This window comes from Homo sapiens, chromosome 19 (genome assembly GCF_000001405.40).
Source record: "Homo sapiens chromosome 19, GRCh38.p14 Primary Assembly".
Taxonomy (NCBI): domain Eukaryota; kingdom Metazoa; phylum Chordata; class Mammalia; order Primates; family Hominidae; genus Homo; species Homo sapiens.
Window position 1 is genome coordinate 11106499 of NC_000019.10, and position 17242 is coordinate 11123740.

Below are 17242 nucleotides of genomic sequence, written 5' to 3' on the forward strand. Positions count from 1 at the left end.
GCCCTGCTTCTTTTTCTCTGGTTGTCTCTTCTTGAGAAAATCAACACACTCTGTCCTGTTTTCCAGCTGTGGCCACCTGTCGCCCTGACGAATTCCAGTGCTCTGATGGAAACTGCATCCATGGCAGCCGGCAGTGTGACCGGGAATATGACTGCAAGGACATGAGCGATGAAGTTGGCTGCGTTAATGGTGAGCGCTGGCCATCTGGTTTTCCATCCCCCATTCTCTGTGCCTTGCTGCTTGCAAATGATTTGTGAAGCCAGAGGGCGCTTCCCTGGTCAGCTCTGCACCAGCTGTGCGTCTGTGGGCAAGTGACTTGACTTCTCAGAGCCTCACTTCCTTTTGTTTTGAGACGGAGTCTCGCTCTGACACCCAGGCTGGAGTGCTGTGGCACAATCACAGCTCACGGCAGCCTCTGCCTCTGATGTCCAGTGATTCTCCTGCCTCAGCCTCCCGAGTAGCTGAGATTAAAGGCGTATACCACCACGCCCGGCTAATTTTTTGTATTTTTATTAGAGACAGGGTTTCTCCATGTTGGCCAGGCTGGTCTTGAACTCCTGGTCTCAGGTGATCCACCCGCCTCGGCCTCCCAAAGTGCTAGGATTACAGGTGTGAGCCACTGCGCCAGGCCTAATTTTTTTGTATTTTTAGTAGAGATGCGGTTTTGCCATATTGCCCAGGCTGGTCTCGAACTCCTGGGCTCAAGCGATCTGCCTGCCTTGGCCTCCCAAAGTGCTGGGATTACAGGCACAAACCACCGTGCCCGACGCGTTTTCTTAATGAATCCATTTGCATGCGTTCTTATGTGAATAAACTATTATATGAATGAGTGCCAAGCAAACTGAGGCTCAGACACACCTGACCTTCCTCCTTCCTCTCTCTGGCTCTCACAGTGACACTCTGCGAGGGACCCAACAAGTTCAAGTGTCACAGCGGCGAATGCATCACCCTGGACAAAGTCTGCAACATGGCTAGAGACTGCCGGGACTGGTCAGATGAACCCATCAAAGAGTGCGGTGAGTCTCGGTGCAGGCGGCTTGCAGAGTTTGTGGGGAGCCAGGAAAGGGACTGAGACATGAGTGCTGTAGGGTTTTGGGAACTCCACTCTGCCCACCCTGTGCAAAGGGCTCCTTTTTTCATTTTGAGACAGTCTCGCACGGTCGCCCAGGCTGGAGCGCAATGGCGCGATCTCGGCTCACTGCAACCTCTGCCTCCCAGGTTCAAGTGATTCTCCTGCCTCAGCCTCCTGAGTAGCTGGGATTACAGGCGCCCACCACCAAGCCCGGGTAATTTTTTGTATGTTTAGTAGAGATGGGGTTTCACTATGTTGGCCAGGCTGGTGTTGAACTCCTGACCTCATGATCCGCCCACCTCGGCCTCCCAAAGTGCTGGGATTACAGGCGTGACCCACCCCATGAAAAAAAATTAAAAAATGAAGCGATGCTGGGCGCGGTGGATCACGCCTGTAATCCCAGCACTTTGGGAAGCTGAGGCAGGCAGATCACGAGGGCAGGAGATTGAGACCATCCTGGCTAATACGGTGAAACCCCATCTCTACTAAAACTACAAAAAATTAGCCGGGTGTGGTGGCAGGCACCTGTGATCCCAGCTACTCAGGAGGCTGAGGCAGGAGAATCGCTTGAACCCAGGAGGTGGAGGTTGCAGTGAGCCGGGATCACACCATTGCACTCCAGCCTGGGTGACAGAGTGAGACTCTGTCTCAAAAAAAAAAAAAAAAAAAAAAGCGAATTCTGAAATACATGAATTCTTTTCCTTAGATGCCTGCTTCTGTCTTGAGGTTTGTTGTTGTTATTTCGAAACAGAGTCTTGCTCTGTCGCTCAGGCTGGAGTGCAGTGGCATGATCTTGGCTCACCACAACCTCCGGCTCCCAGGTTCAAGCGATTCTTCTGCCTCAGCCTCCTGAGTAGCTGGGATTACAGCTGAATGCCACCTTGCTGGGCTAATTTTTGTATTTTTAGTAGAGATGGGGTTTCACCATGTTGGCCAGGCTGGCCTCGAACTCCTGACCTCGAGTGATCTGCCCGCCTCCTGAAGTGCTGGGATTACAGGCGTGAGCCACCTCGTCCTGGTGAGGGTTTTTTTTTTTCCCCAACCCTCTGTGGTGGATACTGAAAGACCATATTAGGATAACTGTACAGTATAGAGAAGGCAGTGGCAAGTTTTCTCTGTCATATACCAGAGTGGGCTTGGGCATGGTGGCATACTCCTGTAGTCTCAGCTAATCAGGAGGCTGAGGAAGGAGGATCGCTTGGGCCCAGGAGTTGGAGACTGTAGTGAGCTGTGATCACACCACCACACTTCAATCTGGGCAACAGAGCAAGAGACCCTATCTCTAAAAAAAAGTAAGTATTTCGGACACTGTGGGCCATACGGTCTCTGGTGCAGTTTCTCAACATGGCTGTTGGGTGAACACAACCACGCACAGAACGCAAACCAATACACGTGGCTGTGGGCCCAGAAAATGTTATTTATGGACACAAAAATTGGAATTTCATATAACTGTTTTGTGTCATGAAAATGATTTCCCTTTTTATTTTTATTTTTCTTCTCAAGTATTTAAATATGTAAAAGCCATTTTTAGGCCTGGCAGGATGGTTCACAGCTGTAATCCCAGCACTTTGGGAGGTCGAGGCGGGAGGATCACGAGGTCAGGAGATCGAGACCATCCTGGCCAACACAGTGAAACCCCGTCTCTACTAAAAATACAAAAAATTAACCAGGCTTGGTGGCGCGCGTCTGTAGTCCCAGCTGCTCAGGAGGCTGAGGCAGGAGAATCGCTTGAATGCAGGAGGCGGAGGTTGTAGTGAGCCGAGGTTGCACCACTGCACTCCAGCCTGAGCGACAGAGTGAGAGTCCGCCTCAAACAAAAAAATGTTTGCCCATGCTGGTCTTGAACTCCTGGGCTCAAGCTATCTGCCTGCCTTGGTCTCCCAAAGTTCTGGGATTACAGGCATGAGCTACAGCGCCCGGACTTTTGTTGTTTTATATCTATATATCTATATATAACTTGTTTTATGTATATATATAACTTGTTTTATATATATACATAAACTGCAGTAAAAAACATGTAACATAAAATTTACCTTCTCAAACCTTATTAAGTGCACAGTTCTGTGCCATTAGCAAATTCACACTGTTGTACAACATCACAACCACCATCTCCAGAACTTTTTTTTTTTTTTTTATTCTTTTTGAGACAGAGTCTCACTCGTCGCACGGGCTGGAGTGCAGTGGTGCGATCTCGGTTCACTGCAACCTCCACCTACCAGGTTCAAGCAATTCTCCTGCCTCAGCCCCCTCAGTAGCTGGGATTACAGGTGCCCGTCCTACCACGCCCAGCTAATTTTTGTATTTTCAGTAGAGACTGACTGGGTTTCACCATGTTGGCCAGGCTGGTCTCGAACTCCTGACCTCAAGTGATCCTCCCACCTCAGCCTCCCAAAGTGCTGGGAATACAGGCATGAGCCACTGCGCCCGGCCCCAGAACTCTTTTATCTTCCCAAACTGAAGCTCTGTCCCCATGAAACACTCACTCTCCATCCCCTCCCCAACTCCTGGCACCCACCATTCTACTTTCTGTCCCTATGAATGTGATGGCTCTAGGGACCTCCTCTGAGTGGAATCAGACAGCATTTTCCTTTTTTGACTGGCTTATTTCACTGAGCCAAGTGCGGTGGCACACGCCTGTAATCCCAAAACTTTGGGAGACCGAGGCGGGCGCATCACCTGAGGTCAGGAGTTCGAGACCAGCCCGGCCAACATGGTGAAACCCCATCTCTAGTAAAAATACAAAAAATTAGCCTGTCATGGTCGTGGGTGCCTGTAATCCCAGCTAAGTGGGAGGCTGAGGCAGGAGAATCGCTTGTACCCAGGAGGCGGAGGTCGCAGTGAGCCGAGATCGTGCCATTACACTCCAGCCTGGGCAACAAGAGTGAAACTCCGTCTCTCCTAAAAATACAAAAAAATTAGCTGGGCATGGTGGCACATGCCTGTAGTCCCAGCTACTTGGGAGGCTGAGGCAGGAGAATCACTTGAACCCGGGAGGTGGAGGTTGTAATGAGCCAAGGTTGGCGGCGAAGGGATGGGTAGGGGCCCGAGAGTGACCAGTCTGCATCCCCTGGCCCTGCGCAGGGACCAACGAATGCTTGGACAACAACGGCGGCTGTTCCCACGTCTGCAATGACCTTAAGATCGGCTACGAGTGCCTGTGCCCCGACGGCTTCCAGCTGGTGGCCCAGCGAAGATGCGAAGGTGATTCCCGGGTGGGACTGAGCCCTGGGCCCCCTCTGCGCTTCCTGACATGGCAACCAAACCCCTCATGCCTCAGTTTCCCCATCTGTTAAGTGTGCTTGAAAGCAGTTAGGAGGGTTTCATGAGATTCCACCTGCATGGAAAACTATCATTGGCTGGCCAGAGTTTCTTGCCTCTGGGGATTAGTAATTAAGAAATTTCAGGCCGGGTGCGTAATCCCTGTAATCCCAACACCTTGGGACGCCGAGGCGGGCAGATCACCTGAGGTCGGGAGTTCCAGACCAGCCTGACCAACATGGAGAAACCCCGTCTCTACTAAAAATACAAAATTAGCCGGGCTTGGTGGTGCATGCCTATAATCCCAGCTACTCAGGAGGCTGAGGCAGGAGAATCACTTGAACCTGGGAGGTGGAGGTTGTGGTGAGCCAAGATCGTGCCATTGCACTCCAGCCTGGGCAACAAGAGTGAAACTCCATCCAAAAAAAAAAGAAAAGAAAAGAAAAAAAAGAAAAGAAATTTCAGCTGACACAGCTTCACACTCTTGGTTGGGTTCCCGTGGTGAATGATGAGGTCAGGTGATGACTGGGGATGACACCTGGCTGTTTCCTTGATTACATCTCCCGAGAGGCTGGGCTGTCTCCTGGCTGCCTTCGAAGGTGTGGGTTTTGGCCTGGGCCCCATCGCTCCGTCTCTAGCCATTGGGGAAGAGCCTCCCCACCAAGCCTCTTTCTCTCTCTTCCAGATATCGATGAGTGTCAGGATCCCGACACCTGCAGCCAGCTCTGCGTGAACCTGGAGGGTGGCTACAAGTGCCAGTGTGAGGAAGGCTTCCAGCTGGACCCCCACACGAAGGCCTGCAAGGCTGTGGGTGAGCACGGGAAGGCGGCGGGTGGGGGCGGCCTCACCCCTTGCAGGCAGCAGTGGTGGGGGAGTTTCATCCTCTGAACTTTGCACAGACTCATATCCCCTGACCGGGAGGCTGTTTGCTCCTGAGGGCTCTGGCAGGGGAGTCTGCCGCCCTGTTAGGACTTGGGCTTGCCAGGGGGATGCCTGCATATGTCCTAGTTTTTGGGAATATCCAGTTAACGGAACCCTCAGCCCTACTGGTGGAACAGGAACCGGCTTTCCTTTCAGGGACAACCTGGGGAGTGACTTCAAGGGGTTAAAGAAAAAAAATTAGCTGGGCATGGTGCCACACACCTGTGGTCCCAGCTACTCAGAAGGCTGAGGCGGGAGGATTGCTTGAGGGCAGGAGGATTGGTTGATCCTCCCACCTCAGCCTCCGGAGTAGCTGGGACCTCAGGTGCATGCCACTATGCCTGGCTAATTTTCTTTTTTCTTTTTTTTTTTTTTTCGAGACGGAGTCTCGCTCTGTTGCCCAGGCTGGAGTGCAGTGGCAGGATCTCGGCTCACTGCAAGCTCCGCCTCCCGGGTTCACGCCATTCTCCTGCCTCAGCCTCCCCAGTAGCTGGGACTACAGGAGCCCGCCACTGCACCAGGCCAATTTTTTTGTATTTTTAGTAGAGACGGGGTTTCACTGTGTTAGCCAGGATGGTCTCGATCTCCTGACTTCGTGATCCGCCCACCTCGGCCTTCCAAAGTGCTCGGATTACAGGCGTGAGCCACTGCGCCCAGCCGCTAATTTTCATATTTTTAGTAAAAACAGGGTTTCACCATGTTGGCCAGGCTAGTCTTGAACTCCTGAACCCAAGTGATCCTCCTGCCTTGGCCTCCCAAAGTGCTGGGATTACAGACACCACACCTGGCTATTATTATTTTTTAGAGACAGGGTGCTGCTCTATCTTCCAGCCTGTAGTGCAGTGCAGCCTCCATCATAGCTCGCTGCAGCCTTGACCTCCTGGGTTCACGTGATCGTCCCGCCTAAGCCTCTGGAGGAGCTGGGAGTACTGGCATGTGCCACCATGCCTGGTTAATTTTTTTTTTTTTTTTTTTGAGACAGAGTCTCATTCTGTCACCCAGGCTGGAGTGCGGTGGTGCGATCTTGGCTTACTGAAACCTCCACCTCCCAGGTTCCAGCAATTCTCCTGCCTCACCCTTCTGAGTAGCTGGGATTACAGGTTCCGGCTACCAAACCTGGCTAGTTTTTGTATGTTTAGTAGAGACAGGGTTTCACCATGTTGGTGAGGCTGGTCTCGATTCTCCCGCCTCAGCCTCCCAAAGTGCTGGGATTACAGGCTTGAGCCACCGTGCCTGGCTTTTTTTTTTTTTTTTTTTTTTGTGGCAATAAGGTCTCATTGTCTTGCCCAGGCTAGCCTTATGCTCCTAGCCTCAAGTGATCCTCCTCCCTCAGCCTCCCAAAGTGCTGGGATTACAGGTGGGCGCCACTGTGCCTGTTCCCGTTGGGAGGTCTTTTCCACCCTCTTTTTCTGGGTGCCTCCTCTGGCTCAGCCGCACCCTGCAGGATGACACAAGGGGATGGGGAGGCACTCTTGGTTCCATCGACGGGTCCCCTCTGACCCCCTGACCTCGCTCCCCGGACCCCCAGGCTCCATCGCCTACCTCTTCTTCACCAACCGGCACGAGGTCAGGAAGATGACGCTGGACCGGAGCGAGTACACCAGCCTCATCCCCAACCTGAGGAACGTGGTCGCTCTGGACACGGAGGTGGCCAGCAATAGAATCTACTGGTCTGACCTGTCCCAGAGAATGATCTGCAGGTGAGCGTCGCCCCTGCCTGCAGCCTTGGCCCGCAGGTGAGATGAGGGCTCCTGGCGCTGATGCCCTTCTCTCCTCCTGCCTCAGCACCCAGCTTGACAGAGCCCACGGCGTCTCTTCCTATGACACCGTCATCAGCAGAGACATCCAGGCCCCCGACGGGCTGGCTGTGGACTGGATCCACAGCAACATCTACTGGACCGACTCTGTCCTGGGCACTGTCTCTGTTGCGGATACCAAGGGCGTGAAGAGGAAAACGTTATTCAGGGAGAACGGCTCCAAGCCAAGGGCCATCGTGGTGGATCCTGTTCATGGGTGCGTATCCACGACGCTGAGGGCTGCAGAGGGAATGGAGGGAGCAGGAAGGAGCTTCAGGAACTGGTTAGTGGGCTGGGCATGGTGGCTCAAAGCACCTGTAATCCCAGCACTTTGGGAGGCCAAGGTGGGTGGATCATCAAGACCAGCCTGACCAACATGGTGAAACCTCGTCTCTACTAAAAATACAAAAATTAGCCGGGTGTGGTGGTGGGCACCTGTAATCCCAGCTGCTCGGGAGGCTGAGGCAGGAGAATCACTTGAACCTGGGAGATGGAGGTTGCAGTGAGCCAAGACAGCCCCACTGCACTCCAGCCTGGGTGACAGAGTGAGACTCCGTCTCAAAAAAAAAAAAAAAAACTAAACAAAAAACTGGTTAGTGGCTAGACAACAGGATGGTATCTTCCAAGCCCATGGCTGACTCAGCAGCTCCTGGGTCAAGACACTGTGACCTGTGTCCCCTGGCAGGAAGCATCGCCCCTGCCACCTGCCCGGTGTACTCTGTACCTGTCAGGTGACATCTGCTACCTAAGCACGTGAGAGGTGGCATTTCACAGTTTCAGTGTGGTGCTGACAACCCGGGACGCACACTGTCCTTGCAGCTACAATCAGGAGGTGAATGTTGGGTTTCCAGCAGAGAACACTGGAGAAGGCACACTTGGTGTCTGGAAGGGAAAAGCAGGGAAGAGAGCATCATCAGATGCCTGCGGGTGAAGGTGGGCCCGCTATGGCCAGCGTCCCTTTTTATTTTTATTTATTTATTTATTTGAGATGGAATCTCGCTCTGTCGCCCAGACTGTAGTGCAGTGGTGCGATCACGGCTCACTGCAAGCTCCGCCTCACAGGTTCACGCCATTCTCCTGCCTCAGCCTCCCGAGTAGCTGGGACTACAGGCACCCGCCACCACGCCCGGTTAATTTTTTGCATTTTTATTAGAGACGGGGTTTCACCGCGTTAGCCAGGATGGTCTAAATCTCCTGACCCTGTGATCCACCCGCCTCGGCCTCCCTAAGTGCTTGGATTACAAGCGTGAGCCACCACGCCCGGCCCCCTTTTTATTTTTTATTTTTTGAGACGGAGTCTCGCTCTGTCGCCCAGGCTAGATTGCAGTGGCGTGATCTCGGCTCACTGCAGCCTCCGCCTCCCAGGTTCAAGTGATTCTCCTGCCTCAACCTCCCAACTAATTAGGATTACAAGCATGTACCACCATGCCTGACTAATTTTTTGTATTTTTAGTAGAGACTGGGTTTCACCATGTTGGCTAGGCTGGTCTCGAACCCTTAGCCTCAAGTAATCTGCCTGCCTCAGCCTCCCAAACAGCGGGGATTACAGGCATGAGCCACTGTGCCCAACCCAACCCTGGATCTCTTTTAAACAAGACAATGCTCGCTGTTGCCACAGAACAATGGGTGGGGTACATGTGGCCCAGTGTGTTTGGCCACATAACTGCCAGGCCAGAGGGAAAGAGACTCTCAGACTGTCTCCACTCAGATACAAATGTGTGTGTTGTGTGCGTGTGTTCTGGTCTCATATTTGTTTGTTTTGAGACAGGGTGTCGCTCTGTCACTGAGTCTGGAGTGCAGTGGCGCAATCAGAGTTCACTGCAGCCTCAAACTCTTGGGCTCAGTTGATTCTCCCACTTCAGCCTCCCAAGTAGCTGGAACTACAGGTGAACACCACTGTGCCCAGCTAATTTATTTTATTTTTAGTAGAGATGAGGTCTCACTATGTTGCCCAGGCTGGTCTTGACCTCCTAGCCTCAAGCAATCCTCCTGCCTTGGTCTCCCAAAGTGCTGGGATTACACGTGCGAGCCATTGCGCATGGCTTGTGTTCTTGTGTTTCTTCCTTTTTCTTTCGAGATGGCGTCTCAGTCTGCCACCCAGGCTGGAGTGCAGTGGTGTGATCATAGCTCACTGTAGCCTCAACTTCCTGGGCTCAAGCAATCCTCTTGATTTCAGCCTCCCGGGCCTGGCCAGCATGGTGAAACCCCGTCTCTACTAAAAATACAAAAATGTAGCCAGGCGTGGTGGTGGGCGCCTGTAATCCCAGCTACACCAGAGGCTGAGGCAGGAGAATCGCTTGAGCCTGGAAGGTGGAGGTTGCAGCAAGCCAAGATCGTGCCACTGCACTCCAGCCTGGGCAACAGAGACAGACTCTGTCTCAAAAAAAAAAAAAAAAAACCCAAACAAGCCACATTTGGAGTTTGGGGTTCCCAGCAGGACTATTTCCCAAGCCTGAGCCTGGCTGTTTCTTCCAGAATTCGTTGCACGCATTGGCTGGGATCCTCCCCCGCCCTCCAGCCTCACAGCTATTCTCTGTCCTCCCACCAGCTTCATGTACTGGACTGACTGGGGAACTCCCGCCAAGATCAAGAAAGGGGGCCTGAATGGTGTGGACATCTACTCGCTGGTGACTGAAAACATTCAGTGGCCCAATGGCATCACCCTAGGTATGTTCGCAGGACAGCCGTCCCAGCCAGGGCCGGGCACAGGCTGGAGGACAGACGGGGGTTGCCAGGTGGCTCTGGGACAAGCCCAAGCTGCTCCCTGAAGGTTTCCCTCTTTCTTTTCTTTGTTTTTTCTTTTTTTGAGATGAGGTCTTGGTCTGTCACCCAGGCTGGAGTGCACTGGCGCAATCGTAGCTCACTGCAGCCTCCACCTCCCAGGCTCAAGTGATCCTCCTGCCTCACCCTCCTGAGTAGCTGAGATTACAGACACGTGCCACCACGGCAGACTAATTTTATTTTATTTTTGGGAAGAGACAAAGTCTTGTTATGTTGGCCTGGCTGGTCTCAAACTCAGGGTGCAAGCGATCCTCCCGCCTCAGCCTTCCAAACTGCTGGGATTACAGGCGTGGGCCACCGTACCCAGCCTCCTTGAAGTTTTTCTGACCTGCAACTCCCCTACCTGCCCATTGGAGAGGGCGTCACAGGGGAGGGGTTCAGGCTCACATGTGGTTGGAGCTGCCTCTCCAGGTGCTTTTCTGCTAGGTCCCTGGCAGGGGGTCTTCCTGCCCGGAGCAGCGTGGCCAGGCCCTCAGGACCCTCTGGGACTGGCATCAGCACGTGACCTCTCCTTATCCACTTGTGTGTCTAGATCTCCTCAGTGGCCGCCTCTACTGGGTTGACTCCAAACTTCACTCCATCTCAAGCATCGATGTCAACGGGGGCAACCGGAAGACCATCTTGGAGGATGAAAAGAGGCTGGCCCACCCCTTCTCCTTGGCCGTCTTTGAGGTGTGGCTTACGTACGAGATGCAAGCACTTAGGTGGCGGATAGACACAGACTATAGATCACTCAAGCCAAGATGAACGCAGAAAACTGGTTGTGACTAGGAGGAGGTCTTAGACCTGAGTTATTTCTATTTTCTTCTTTCTTTTTTTTTTTTTTTTTGAGACAGAGTTTTGCTCTCGTTTCCCAGGCTGGAGGGCAATGGCATGATCTCGGCTCACCGCAACCTCCACCTCCCAGGTTCAAGTGATTCTCCTGTCTCAGGCTCCCCAGTAGCTGGGATTACAGGCATGCACCACCACCATGCCCGGCTAATTTTGTATTTTTAGTAGAGACGGAGTTTCTCCATGTTGGTCAGGCTGGTCTCGAACTCCCGACCTCAGGTGATCTGCCTGCCTCGGCCTCCCAAAGTGCTGGGATTACAGACTTGAGCCACCGCGCCCAGCTATTTCTGTTTTCTTTCTTTCTTCTTCTTCTTTTTTTTTTTCTAAGAGACAGGATCTCACTCTGTCCCCAGGCAGGAGTGCAGTGCTGTGATCATAGCTCACTGCAGCCTTAACCTCCTGGGCTCAAGTGATCTTCCCACCTCAGCCTCCCAAGTAGCTGGAACTACAGGTGCACACCACCATGCCCAGCTCATTTTTGTATTTTTTTTTTTTTTGAGACAGTCTCGTTCTGTCACCCCGGCTGGAGTGCAGTGGTACAATCTTGGCTCACTGCAACCTCTGCCTCCCAGGTTCAAGCGATTCTCCTGCCTCAGCCTCCTGAGTAGTTGAGATTACAGGCATGTGTGCCATCATACCTGGCTGATTTTTGTATTTTTTTTTAGAGATGGGGTCTCAGTATGTTGACCAGGCTTGTCTTAAACTCCCGGCCTCAAGTGATCCTCCCACTTCAGTCTCCCAAAGTGCTGGGATTACAGGCATGAGCCACTGCGGCCGGTTTGTTTTCTTTTTTTTTTCGTTTTTTGGAGACGGAATTTCACCTTTGTTGCCCAGGATGGAGTGCAATGGCACGATATCGCCTCACCACAACCTCTGCCTCCTGGGTTCAAACCATTTTCCTGCCTCAGCCTTCTTAGTAGCTGGGATTACAAGCATGTGCCACCACGCCCGGCTGATTTTGTATTTTTAGTAGAGATGGGGTTTCTCCATGTTGGCCAGGCTGGTCTCGAACTCCTGACCTCAGGTCATTCGCCCACCTCTGCCTCCCAAAGTGCTGGGATTACAGGCGTGAGCCACCGTGCCCGGTGGTTTGTATTCTTTTTACTGAGAGTCGTGAAAGGCAGTGATCCTCTGTCACATGTGATCTTGGCTCTCAGGGGACATTTGGCAATTTCTAGAGATTTTTTGGTTGTCACAAGTCAATGGGGAAGACTGTTGGCATTTAGTGGGTAGAGGCTGGTGACGCTGCTGAACACCCAGAACAGGGAAGTAGCAGGCCCTAGATAGAGCCATCGTGGGGAAACCCTGCTCTAAGGAAATGGCGCTATTTTATAACCCCACGTTCCTGGCATGATTACCAACAGCCAAAAGTGGAGTCCCCCCAAGTGTGTTCGTCCATTTGCATTGCAGTAAAGGAATAGCTGAGGCCGGGTAATTTATAAAGAAAAGAGATTTAAACTGGGTATGGCAGTTTATGCCTATAATCCCAGAACTTTGGGAGGCTGAGGCAGGAGGATCGCTTGAGTCCAGGAGTGTGAGACCGAGACCAGCCTGGCCAACATGACGAAACTCTGTCTCTACAAAAAATACAAAAAGTAGGCCAGGCACGGTGGTTCACGCCTGTAATCCCAGCACTTTGGGAGGCCGAGGCGGGCGGATCACGAGGTCAGGAGATCGAGACCATCCTGGCTAACACGGTGAAACCCCGTCTCTACTAAAAATACAAAAACAAAATTAGCCGGGTGTGGTGGCAGGCGCCTGTAGTCCCAGCTACTCGGGAGGCTGAGGCGGGAGAATGGCGTGAACCCGGGAGGCGGAGCTTGCAGTGAGCCAAGATCGCGCCACTGCACTCCAGCCTGGGTGACCGAGTTGAGACTCCGTCTCAAAAAAAAAAAAAAAAAAAAAAATACAAAAAGTAGCCAGGTGTGGTGGCAGGCACCTGTAATCCTGGGTTCTCGAGACCGAGGCATGAGAATTGCCTGACCCCAGGAGGTGGAGGCTGCAGTGAGCCAAGATCATGCCACTGCACTCCAGCCTGGGCGACAGAGTGGGACTCTGTCTCAAAAAACAACAAAAAAAAAGTTCTGGAAATGGATGGTGGTGATGGTGATACTTCCACAACAGCGTGAATCTGCTTAAGGCCACCGAACTGTGCACTCACAAATAGTCGAGATGGTACATTTTATGTTATGTGTATTTCACCACAATTAAAAACTAGTTGTGGGCCAGGTGTGGTGGTTCATGCCTGTAATCCCAGCACTTTGGGAGGTCAGAGGGAGGTGGATCATGAGGTCAGCAGTTCGAGACCAGCCAGGCCAACATGGTGAAACCCCATCTCTACTAAAAATACAAAAATTAGCCAGGCGTGGTGGCACATGCCTGTAGTCCCAGCTACTTGAGAGGCTGAAGCAGGAGAATCGCTTGAACCTGGGAGGCTAAGATTGCAGTGAGCCGAGATCGTGCCACTGCACTCCAGCCTGGACGACAGAGTGAGACTTCGTCTCAAAAAAAAAACCAAAAAAAAAATTAGCTGTGGGTCAGGCACTGTGGCTCACGCCTGTAATCCCAGCACTTTGGGAGACCGAGGTAGGTGGATGGCCTGAGGTCAGGAGTTCGAATCCAGCCTGGCCAACATGGTGAAAGCCCGTCTCTACTAAAAATACAAAAAATTAGTCAGGTATGTTGGCACACCTGTAATCCCAGCTACTCGGGAGGCTGAAGCAAGAGAATCGTTTGAACCCAGGAGGTGGACGTTGCAGTGAGCCGAGATTGGGCCACTGTACTCCAGCCTGGGCAACAAAAGTGAAACTCTGTCTGAAACAAACAAACAAACAAACAAACAGACAAACAAAAAAACTAGTTGTGGAGAGAGGGTGGCCTGTGTCTCATCCCAGTGTTTAACGGGATTTGTCATCTTCCTTGCTGCCTGTTTAGGACAAAGTATTTTGGACAGATATCATCAACGAAGCCATTTTCAGTGCCAACCGCCTCACAGGTTCCGATGTCAACTTGTTGGCTGAAAACCTACTGTCCCCAGAGGATATGGTTCTCTTCCACAACCTCACCCAGCCAAGAGGTAAGGGTGGGTCAGCCCCACCCCCCCAACCTTGAAACCTCCTTGTGGAAACTCTGGAATGTTCTGGAAATTTCTGGAATCTTCTGGTATAGCTGATGATCTCGTTCCTGCCCTGACTCCGCTTCTTCTGCCCCAGGAGTGAACTGGTGTGAGAGGACCACCCTGAGCAATGGCGGCTGCCAGTATCTGTGCCTCCCTGCCCCGCAGATCAACCCCCACTCGCCCAAGTTTACCTGCGCCTGCCCGGACGGCATGCTGCTGGCCAGGGACATGAGGAGCTGCCTCACAGGTGTGGCACACGCCTTGTTTCTGCGTCCTGTGTCCTCCAACTGCCCCCTCCTGAGCCTCTCTCTGCTCATCTGTCAAATGGGTACCTCAAGGTCGTTGTAAGGACTCATGAGTCGGGATAACCATACTTTTCTTGGATGGACACATCAGCACCGGGCTTGACATTTACCCAGTTCCCCTTTGATGCCTGGTTTCCTCTTTCCCGGCCCCCTGAAGAGGTGATCTGATTTCTGACAGGAGCCCTGAGGGAGGAAATGGTCCCCTTTGTTGACTTTTCTTTTTCTTTATTTTTTTCTTTTGAGATTTGCTGTCACCCAGCCTGGAATGCAGTGGTGCCATCTTGGCTCACTGCTACCTCTCCCACTGGGTTCAAGCAATTCTCCTGCCTCAGCCTCCCAAGTAGCTGGGATTACAAGCATGCGCCACCATGCCTGGCTAAGTTTTGTATTTTTAGTACAGACAGGGTTTCTCCATGGTGGCCAGGCTGGTCTTGAACTCCTGACCTCAGGTGATCCTCCCACCTCTGCCTCCCGAAGTGCTACGATTACAGGCATGAGCCACCGCGCCCATCCCCCTTTGTTGACTTTTCTCATCCTCTGAGAAAGTCTCAGTTGAGGCCAGCACCTCCCTCAAGTGAATTGAATCTCCCTTTTGAACAACAACAAATAACAATATGACCCAGACGTGGTGGCTCACACCTGTGGTCCCAGCTACTCGGGAGGCTGAGGTGTGAGGATTGCTTGAGCCCAGGAGGTCAAGGCTACAGAGAGCTATAATCACACCACTTCACTCCAGCCTGGGGGACAAAGTGAAACCCTGTCTGAAAAAAACAAAAAAAGAAAAAGGAAAAAGAAACAATACGATCACAAAGTAGATATTCATAGTGTTTATTTTCAGTACTCTTTTTTTTTTTTTTTTTTTTTTTTGAGACGGAGTCTTGCTCTGTTGCCCAGGCTGGAGTGCAGTGGCACGATCTTGGCTCACTGCAGCCTCTGCCTCCCAGGTTCAAGCGCTTGGCTCACTGCAACCTCCGCCTCCTGGGTTCAAGCGCTTCTTCTGCCTCAGCCTCCCCAGTAGCTGGGACTATAGGCACGTCCCACTACGCCCAGCTAATTTTTTGTATTTTTTAGTAGAGATGGGGTTTCACTATGTTAGCCAGGATGGTCTCGATCTCCTGACCTCGTGATCTGCCTGCCTTGGGCTCCCAAAGTGTTGGGATTATGGGCATGAGCCACTGCACCTGGCCTTTTTTTTTTTTTTTTTTGAGATGGAGTTTCGCTCTTGTTGCCCAGGCTGGAGTGCAATGGTGTGATCTCGGCTCACTGCAACCTCTGCCTCCTGGGTTCAAGCAATTCTCCTGCCTCAGCCTCCCGAGTAGCTGGGATTACAGGCACCTGCCACCACGCCTGGCTAATTTTTGTACTTTTAGTAGAGACGGGGTTTCTCCATGTTGGTCAGGCTGGTCTCAAACTCCTGACCTCAGGTGATCCACCCACCTCGGCCTCCCAAAGTTCTGGGATTACAGACATGAGCCACCGCGCCTGGCCGTGTCTGGCCTTTTTTAGTTATTTCTTTTTTTTTTTTTTTTTTTTTTGAGACAGAGTCTTACTCCGTCGCCCAGGCTGGAGTGCAGCGGTGCGATGTCTGCGCACTGCAAGCTCCGCCCCCTGGGTTCATGCCATTCTCCTGCCTCAGCCTTCTGAGTAGCTGGGACTGCAGGCGCCTGCCACTACGCCCGGCTACTTTTTTGTATATTTAGTAGAGATGGAGTTTCACTGTGTTAGCCAGGATGGTCTCGATCTCCTGACTTTGTGATCCGCCCGCCTCGGCCTCCCAAAGTGCTGGGATTACAGGCGTGAGCCACCATGCCAGGCTTTTTTTTTTTTTTTTTTTTTTGAGACGGAGTCTTGCTCTGTCGCCCAGGCTGGAGTGCAGTGCCATGATCTCAGCTCACTGCAAGCTCCACTTCCCAGGCTCACGCCATTCTCCAGCCTCAGCCTCCCAAGTAGCTGAGACTACAGGGGCCCGCCACCACACTCGGCTAATTTTTTTGTATTTTTAGTAGAGACGGGGTTTCACCATGTTAGCCAGGCTGGTCTTGAACTCCTAACCTCAGGCGATTCACCTGCCTCGGCCTCCCAAAGTGCTGGGATTAAAGGTATGAGCCACCTCGCCTGGTGTGAGCCACCTCGCCCAGCCTGAGCCACCTCACCCAGCCTAAGCCACTGTGCCTGGCCTGATTTTGGACTTTTTAAAAATTTTATTAATAATTATTTTTGGGTTTCTTTTTTTTGAGACAGGGTCTTACTCTGTCATCCAGGCCATCCTGTCTGTCTGTCATCCCAGTGATGGGATCATACCTTGCTGCAGCCTCTACCTCCTGGGCTCAAGCGATCCTCCCCCCTCAGCCTCCTGAGTAGCTGGGAGTACAGGTGTGCACCACCACACCTGGCTAATTTTTTTTTTTTTTTTTGTATATAGAGATGGTATTTTGCCATGTTGACCAGGCTAGTCTTAAACTCCTGGACTCACTCAAGAGATCCTCCTGCCTTGGCCTCCCAAGGTCATTTGAGACTTTCGTCATTAGGCGCACACCTATGAGAAGGGCCTGCAGGCACGTGGCACTCAGAAGACGTTTATTTATTCTTTCAGAGGCTGAGGCTGCAGTGGCCACCCAGGAGACATCCACCGTCAGGCTAAAGGTCAGCTCCACAGCCGTAAGGACACAGCACACAACCACCCGACCTGTTCCCGACACCTCCCGGCTGCCTGGGGCCACCCCTGGGCTCACCACGGTGGAGATAGTGACAATGTCTCACCAAGGTAAAGACTGGGCCCTCCCTAGGCCCCTCTTCACCCAGAGACGGGTCCCTTCAGTGGCCACGAACATTTTGGTCACGAGATGGAGTCCAGGTGTCGTCCTCACTCCCTTGCTGACCTTCTCTCACTTGGGCCGTGTGTCTCTGGGCCCTCAGTTTCCCTATCTGTAAAGTGGGTCTAATAACAGTTCTTGCCCTCTTTGCAAGGATTAAATGGGCCAAATCATATGAGGGGCCAGGTCCTTCAGGCTCCTGGTTCCCAAAGTCAGCCACGCACCGTGTGGGTCCCAAAATTTTATCAAGGCACATTCGTTGCCTCAGCTTCAGGCATCTGCCCAAAAAGGCCAGGACTAAGGCAAGGAGAGGGAGGGATTCCTCAGTACTCAGCTTTTCACAGAGG

The 17242-nt window shown here is 52.2% G+C and overlaps 1 protein-coding gene and 1 non-coding gene across 8 annotated transcripts in view; both read left to right on the forward strand.

Annotated features, from left to right (window-relative positions):
• LDLR (low density lipoprotein receptor) overlaps positions 1-17242 on the forward strand; it is a 44358-nt gene that overhangs the window by 17036 nt on the left and 10080 nt on the right. For 4 of the 7 annotated variants that reach the window (NM_000527.5, NM_001195798.2, XM_011528010.3 and 1 more), the window contains 11 exons: positions 67-189; positions 894-1016; positions 4154-4273; positions 5016-5141; positions 6780-6951; positions 7037-7264; positions 9596-9714; positions 10361-10500; positions 13594-13735; positions 13872-14024; positions 16676-16846. In NM_000527.5, coding sequence (NP_000518.1) covers positions 67-189; positions 894-1016; positions 4154-4273; positions 5016-5141; positions 6780-6951; positions 7037-7264; positions 9596-9714; positions 10361-10500; positions 13594-13735; positions 13872-14024; positions 16676-16846 — 1617 coding nt within the window. Of the gene's footprint in view, positions 1-66; positions 190-893; positions 1017-4153; positions 4274-5015; positions 5142-6779; positions 6952-7036; positions 7265-9595; positions 9715-10360; positions 10501-13593; positions 13736-13871; positions 14025-16675; positions 16847-17242 lie in introns of those variants that run through there. The other 3 variants (NM_001195803.2, NM_001195800.2, XM_047438831.1) reach the window with 3 other exon arrangements.
• Positions 6976-7036, forward strand: MIR6886 (microRNA 6886). Its single transcript, NR_106946.1, has one exon. It is a non-coding gene; the product is annotated as a microRNA 6886 (primary transcript).